The sequence below is a fragment of the Homo sapiens genome, chromosome 10, assembly GCF_000001405.40.
Source record: "Homo sapiens chromosome 10, GRCh38.p14 Primary Assembly".
Taxonomy (NCBI): domain Eukaryota; kingdom Metazoa; phylum Chordata; class Mammalia; order Primates; family Hominidae; genus Homo; species Homo sapiens.
Genome location: NC_000010.11, coordinates 65,047,321 through 65,055,358, shown reverse-complemented (window position 1 = coordinate 65,055,358; position 8,038 = coordinate 65,047,321). Strand labels below are relative to the sequence as shown.

Here is an 8,038-nt window from a genome sequence, read left to right as displayed (position 1 = left end):
ACTACATGAATTTTTATATTAAAATGTGACTACTCTGCCTAATTGGTGTTCAATTGTTCTTTCAAAGTACTAATGTTTGAATGGTATACAATCTACCATTCTTTTTTTTTTTTCACACAAGACTAATTTATTGTGTTTGCCCTGTATCATTTCTTTCTTAAACAATTTAAGCAGGAGTTATTTCACATACTGTATTTGGCAATCAGCTTTTGTTATTTCAAACCACTGAAGACAATACATTTGCTTTCTTCCTCTTTTCTTTTTCTTTCGTTTTCTTTTTTTTTGAGATGGAGTCGCGCTCTTGTGCCCAGGCTGGAGGGCAGTGGTGCGATCTCAGCTCACTGCAGCCTCTGCCCTCGCTCGCTGCATCCCTCCCTTCTGCAGCTAAGATGTCAATATTTACCCTACTGACCGTGGCCAGTTCTTGGTATTGCTCAAGTCCCCTGGGCCTTCAGACTGGCGGCTGACTTCAAGGGACCAACCACCCTGGGCCTCTCCTGGGACAAACACTTGCCTTCACCCACTATCGATGTCTTGCTCAGGCCTCAGAGGAGCAGCAGGCTTGGATGTCACCAAGTCACAGTGTTTCATGCTATTTCTGGAGGTTCTCGCCTTTGTGGCCTCGGAAAGGAAGGCGATCTGGTGCTTTGGGGAAAGCCCTCCGGATGCTCCTCCAGATGGTCTTCTTCAGGCCTTTTGCTCAGCATTGGTCTGATCAGTTCTGCCAGCTCTGGGCCATGATCTCTTGGCACTGGCGCGGCTTTCCTTCAATAATTTCATAAACTCCAGACTTCGTGTCTTTTGCATGGAAAGCACGCCGTGCCCATTTCATGGACACCGCACCCCGGAGCCCAAACTTCAGCCCTGCGGGTGTTGGGTTTGTTAGGGACAATTTCGGGCTCAGGTGGAGGGGGCGCTTCCCCAGCGCGGGCGCGTCCTGGGCCCCATCTGAGGCCGTGGGCTCCTGGGAGGAGGACCTGGAGTTTTCAGATCCCCGTGAAGGATGCATTTCCCCCCACTCTTGGGTACAAGCTTCCCTTTGGTGGCATTGGGCACGGATCACCGCCTGGCAGAAGCCCGCGACAGCGTGGAGGGAGCGATGACCCCGCCCGGGACTCCTGGTGGGTGATGGCGCCGGGAGGCCTTGGCTGGGACAGATCGGGGCCTCCCGGTCGGTCAGCGACTCGCGCCCGGCTGCGGCTTTCAGAGGCTTTTGGACACCGCCTGCCATCCCGCCGCGCCCCTCGGTGTCCGCTCCCCAGACTGGCCCTGCCCACGGAGCGCGGGTAGCAGCCGGCGGCCAGGAGCCAGTGGCGGGAGCCACCGGTGGGAAAACCGGCAGGAGGCTGAGCTGGAGCCTGCGCTGGAGCCCGCTGGGCAGCGCCAATCCCTAAGGCAGCCGGGCGGGTGAGCTAACGGCGGCGGGGGCGGCTGACAGGCTGAGGCGGCTGAGGGGCTGAGGGGCTGAGGCGGCTGAGGCGGCTGAGGGGCTGAGGGGCTGAGGCGGCTGAGGGGCTGAGAGGCGGCTGAGGGGCTGAGAGGCTGAGGCGGCTGAGGGGCTAAGGCTGGTGAGGGGCTGAGGGGATGAGGGGCTGAGGCGCCTGAGGGGCTGAGGCGGCTGAGGGGCTGAGGCGGCTGAGGGGCTGAGGCGGCTGAGGGGCTGAGGCTGGTGAGGGGCTTGAGGGGCCGAGGGGATAAGGCGGTTGACGCTGCTGAAGGGACTGAGGGGCTGAGGTGGCTGAGGGGCTGACGCGGGTGAGGGGCTGAAAGGCTGAAGGGCGGGCAGCGTGCCCAGTCCCTGCGGCTGGGTCCACCGCACGTCACGTGGCAGAATCCCCGGGCTGCTTTCTCTCTGGCTGCTCAGCCACTTGTTTTCTTACTGTGAACCTCGTGGGCTCCTGCTCGGTGTCCTTTCTTACTCTGTCTCTGTTTTTGCATTCTACTGGCAAGAATGTTATTTAGGATATTTTACTGATATAACTGAGGATGAACTCTGTTTTTGCAGCATTTTATTTTATTACGCGTTTTCTCCTAGATTTTGGTATCATTTTTACGCTGACTTGATTAAACATTTTGGAAACTTTCCTGGAACTGATAGCTTTTATATGATCTTTTTCTTGAGGTAATAAAATAATTTACTTTGAAATGTCTCAGCCTAACAACTTTTGTGCTTTTGTTGTTTTGTGCAGAGGTGGGAAGTCTCCTTTGCATTTTTGGTATAACTTCTGTGTTAATGATTTTATTGTTTGTTTCGCAAAATCACTTAGTGATCCATGTTTTCCAACTTAGAGTTAACATGTACCATTTTGCGAAATAAAAAAAGTCTCGTATATCTCTTTGTATGTCTCTTTTCATTTCTCATATTTGGAATTGTCTTCATTTTTTCATCATTAGTTTAAAGTAGGAATTTATTTTTTTATTTTTTTATTCTTTTTTTTTTTTTTTATTGATCATACTTGGGTGTTTCTCGCAGAGGGGGATTTGGCAGGGTCATAGGACAATAGTGGAGGGAAGGTCAGCAGATAAACAAGTGAACAAAGGTCTCTGGTTTTCCTAGGCAGAGGACCCTGCGGCCTTCCGCAGTGTTTGTGTCCCTGGGTACTTGAGATTAGGGAGTGGTGATGACTCTTAACGAGCATGCTGCCTTCAAGCATCTGTTTAACAAAGCACATCTTGCACCGCCCTTAATCCATTTAACCCTGAATGGACACAGCACATTTCAGAGAGCACAGGGTTGGGGGTAAGGTCAAAGATCAACAGCATCCCAAGGCAGAAGAATTCTTCTTAGTACAGAACAAAATGGCGTCTCCCATGTCTACTTCTTTCTACACAGACACAGCAACAATCTGATTTCTCTATCTTTTCCCCACATTTCCCGCTTTTCTATTCGACAAAACCTCCATTGTCATCATGGCCAGTTCTCAATGAGCTGTTGGGTACACCTCCCAGACGGGGTAGCAGCCTGGTAGAGGGGCTCCTCACTTCCCAGAAGGGGCGGCCGGGCAGAGGTGCCCCCACCTCCCTCCCGGACGGGGTGGCTGGCCGGGCGGGGGCTGCCCCCCACCTCTCTCCTGGATGGGGCGGCTGCTGGGCGGAGACGCTCCTCACTTCCCAGACGGGGCGGCTGCCGGGCAGAGGGGCTCCTCACATCTCAGACGATGGGCGGCCAGGCAGAGACGCTCCTCACTTCCCAGACGGGGTGGCGGCCGGGCAGAGGCTGCAATCTCGGCACTTTGGGAGGCCAAGGCAGGCGGCTGGGAGGTGGAGGTTGTAGCTAGCCGAGATCATGCCACTGTACTCCAGCCTGGGCAACATTGAGCATTGAGTGAACGAGACTCCGTCTGCAATCCCGGCACCTCGGGAGGCCGAGGCTGGCAGATCACTCGCGGTTAGGAGTTGGAGACCAGCCCGGCCAACACAGCGAAACCCCGTCTCCACCAAAAAAAAAAATACAAAAACCAGTCAGGCATGGCGGCACGCGCGCCTGCAATCGCAGGCACTGGGCAGGCTGAGGCAGGAGAATCAGGCAGGGAGGTTGCAGTGAGCTGAGATGGCAGCAGTACAGTCCAGCTTCGGCTTGGCATCAGAGGGAGACCGTGGAAAGAGAGGGAGAGGGAGAGGGAGAGAGGGAGAGGGAGAGGGAGAGAGGGAGAGGAAGAGAGGGAGAGGAAGAGAGGGAGAGGGAGAGAGGGAGAGGGAGAGAGGGAGAGGGAGAGAGGGAGAGAGGGAGAGGGAGAGAGGGAGAGGGAGAGAGCTACAATCTACCATTCTTTCATCTTCTGAGCGCATAAACATAACCAAAAAATATTTCTTCCAACAGAAATTTAATAGTATAAGAAATGTTAGTAATACAATAGGAAATGTTGTTAGTTAAAATAGCTACTAATAGGGCAACTTTTCCGAGTTAGAAATATGTCCAATGTGGCCGCACGTGGTGGCTCACGCCTGTAATCCCAGCGCTTTGGAGGCCGAGGTGGGCGGATCACGAGGTCAGGAGATCGAGAACATCCTAGCTAACACAGTGAAACCCCATCTCTACTAAAAATACAAAAAAATTAGCCGGGCATGGTGGCGGGCGCCTGTAGTCCCAGCTACTCGGGAGGCTGAGGCAGGAGAATGGAGTGAACCCAGAAGGCGGAGCTTGCAGTGAGCTGAGATTGTGCCACTGCCCTCCAGCCTGGGCGACAGAGCGAGACTCCGTCTGAGGAAAAAAAAAAGAAATATGTCCAATGAAATGTGATACGCTGTAACCGGAATTTGGAAACGACATGCAACTTTAAGTAGAAAGGAAGGTCTTTCTTCCTTTATTTTGGCAGAAGTAGAAAATAGTAAAAAGAAGCATATAAAGGAAGTAGCAAGTGAAGTAAGTTATAAATGATTTAGTTAGAACTCATGTTGGAAGGGGGTTTGGAGTGGGTTGTTCAATGTGGAGAAAAAGAGAAAACAGGCCGGGTGCGGTGGCTCACGCCTGTAATCCCAGCACTTTGGGAGGCTGACGTGGGCAGATCACGAGGTCAGGAGGTCGAGACCATCCTGGCCAACATGGTGAAACCCCATTTCTACTAAAAATACAAAAATTAGCCGAGTGTAGTGGTGCGTGCCTGTAGTCCCAGCTACTTGGGAGGCTGAGGTAGGAGAATCGCTTGAAGCCGGGAGGCAGATGTTGCAGTGAGCCGAGATCAGGCCACTGCACTTCAGCCTGGGTGACAGAGCAAGACTCCACTTAAGGGGGAAAAAAAAAAGAAAAAGAAGAATCATGCAGAGTAGAAAAGATATGACTAAGCATGGCTAATCAATGAGGTGCACAGAGTCTGGTTTATCCTTACCATGTTCTATTTACTTGTTAATGGAGTTATTATAAAAAGGATATTAATTTAAATTATTATAGTAGTATCAAGGCAATGTATTTGTTTGCTCATATACATGGATCAATAACTGTGTAGGGGATCAATAATTACAAACCTAATGTTAAATATTTCTTAAAATTAATCCATTCATTTTTATTTTGCATCAGTTTCTGTGATTTGATTGCTATTTTAAGAATAATTTTTTAAACATTATCTAGTTCCTTCTCATCAGCAAGAAAGATGATATTTCATCCATCACATCATCTTCTGTCTTGAGATTCAAGGAAACATTTATAGGGTCTAAAATTATTGAGATTGTCAAGACTATGATAGTGATGAAATAATGGATTCCTTATTCCTTAGGTAGCAATATGTTTTAATTAAGTCACTTGTGTGCAGAGTTTTGAGATCACTTAATTATTTCATGTGAAGCAACCATTAAGAACAACATGTCAAAGCAAATGTATGTAACTATTGATATTTTGGTTGTATAATTTTTTAATACAAACTTTTATTTTCTAAATAATATAACTTCATGATTTTCAATAAATCCTTTCCAAAGGTAATGTTGTTTTCTAATCAATAAATCAGAAATCATAAAAAATTAACATCTTATTAATAATAAATAAGAAAACTTTGTTTTGATCTATGTTTTATGGTATCCACAATACCTAATATATCACCTAGCAATAAAAAACTCAACAAATATTTTCAAGTGAATGAATAAATGCATGAAAAATGAGTTAATTAATGCTAGCAGCACAGCAATATTTTTAACTCATTATCCCTGAACTAACATTTTTGTATTTTCTAGGCTCAAAAAACATTTTCGTGTACAAAATCAGAGATGACTGTTTTATATCTCCAATAAAGATAATCTGTATTCTGGCTTTATAATGTCATTCACTAACATAGTTTTTAATGAGTACCAACTATCTATGAGGAATTGTAAAAAAAAAAAAAAGGTTAACCTCATAAGGATTACAGTCTAGCTTCATGTTCATTCTGAGTAAACTTTAGCACTTGTTTTATTTAAATATACAAACTTTAATATAGAATTATCATTAATTTTGGAAGCAATACTGTTAAGTACATTCGTAGGCGTATATATCTAAAGTCAGTTTTTATTCAAAGCACAATCTTAAATAAATGCTAAGTTACCTACCAGTTAGAAGTCAAACTAGGCCCTGTGAAACATAATAAACCCTAAAAGGTAATTTTTTTCAGATGTCACTTACATACTGTTAAAAGTTTTGGGACTGTTCATAAAGACAAAATTATACTCTACAAAACAGCAATTATAATAGAACAACTTTTACTCAGGTTATTTAAAAAGAGAGAGAATGTATTAAGAACAGCTGTTGGAAAAATTCTTCTTTTATAAGACACTTCAGAAATACTCAGTAGAGATAAAATAATATAATTTTAAAACTGAAAGAACTTTCAGGATGATTAGTTTTAAGCCAACTCTTTTGCATTCGAGATAGGAAAGCCAACTAAACTGACAACTGCCCTGAATGAAGGTGGGGTCCAATCTACATCTAAAGATAGTTTCCTGTCTCATACTCAATAATTGTATGTGAATTATTAGATCAGTCAGTATAAGGTAGTGTGTGCTATATAAACAAAAATCTCAAATTCTCATCAGCATATAACAGTGAAGTGGTATTTAATTTTTCTGCTCAAAATGGCATATCATTTCCCTCACATATGATGACCAAGTGGGTCATGCGGCCATTCCTGAGATTAACAGAGTGGAAATTTATATGCATTGTTAAATGAGGAGCAACACATGTTTAGAAAAATGATGAAATCTATCATAAAGAATTAAGTGGGCGGATGCTGTGGCTCACACCTGTAATCCCAGCACTTTGGGAGGCCAAGGTGGGTGCATAATGAGGTCAGGAGTTTGAGACCTCCCTGGCCAATATAGTGAAACCCCATCTCTACTAAAAATACAAAAATTAGCTGGGCGTGGTGGTGCGTGCCTGTAGTCCCAGCCACTCTGGAGGCTGAGGCAGAAGAATCACTTGAACCCAGGAGGCAGAGGTTGCAGTGAGCTGAGATGGCGCCACTGCACTCCAGCCTGGGCAACAGAGTGAGACTCCATCTCAAAAAAATAAATAAATAAAATAAAAAATAAACACAGAATGAAATGGGATGAATTCCTCATGAAAAAACATATTCGATTGTAAAACTCTTCTTTGACTCAGATACATTCTATGTTCCATGTAACTACGTTAACATCATTCCTTATTTTAAAATGGAGGTAATAAGTGAGATGGGGCATCATATTGATTAGAATTTCTTGGAAAGTTTGTAGGCTCCACACTGACTAGATAAATCATGTTACAGATATCTTATGAGAAAAGAAGAACAGTCTTATTACGTTTCCTGAGGCAAATCTGCTATTTCTAAATATTTATAGAATCTAATAACAACAATTATTTCAGAGAGAAAGAGATTACAAATCCTGTGACTTACTTAAAAGTTTTAATTTATAATAGTTTTCCTTCAACAGTTACAAATAAACAGCTACTTTGAGACAACATGCGAAGAGGATTTATCTCCTTCTAAAAGAAAATTGTTTGTAGTAAATCCTCACTCAACTGGTTTTCTCAATATTGCATTTATATATTACTATGTAGCAAAGACCTGGAGTGAAATAGATCTGATATAACCTATACAATTGATCATAATGAGTCTCAATTTAAGAGTCATCATAATCTAATTCAATTAATTTAAAATGACTCCCTGAGCAACTGGACATCACTCTATTCTATGAGATGCCAGAAAGTATATTACCTCTTTTAATTGTATTAGTCATTACACACGGGTTTGCAGCTATTCAAACTGCTATCTCTGCTGCTTGAATCAGAAACCAGTATAGAAGTGGATGTGAGCACCTACTTCAGGATCCAGACTAGAAAAGAGAGCCTATAATAGAAAGTTCAGTGGAAGAAATTTAATAACCCAAACAATTGAAAGATTAGCAACAGTAGGAAGCAGTAGGATCTCATACATCTGGAAATACAAATAAAGTAATGTTCTAACTTGATTGCGGGAGCTGGAATCAAGGTACAAGCTGCCAGAGGGAGGCTGAATATGGTGGAAGTGTCTTCCCAGCAAGGGCTAGAACTGTAATCCAGGGTGCCTTGGGTTTCAGATACATATTGTGAAAAAGTACCCAC

General features: G+C 44.4%; 1 pseudogene, besides 1 other annotated feature; it reads right to left on the bottom strand.

The window, feature by feature from the left end:
* On the bottom strand, positions 353-1,304 carry NEK4P3 (NIMA-related kinase 4 pseudogene 3; annotated as a pseudogene).
* Positions 7,485-7,654: an enhancer, noted in NCBI's record as "experimental_14780 CRE fragment used in MPRA reporter constructs". NCBI's record gives its function as "activates a minimal promoter by MPRAs in K562 erythroleukemia cells, with activity observed for the introgressed 10:66807548 variant allele {active_cell/tissue: K562}" and the evidence as "EXISTENCE:reporter gene assay evidence [ECO:0000049][PMID:34662402]".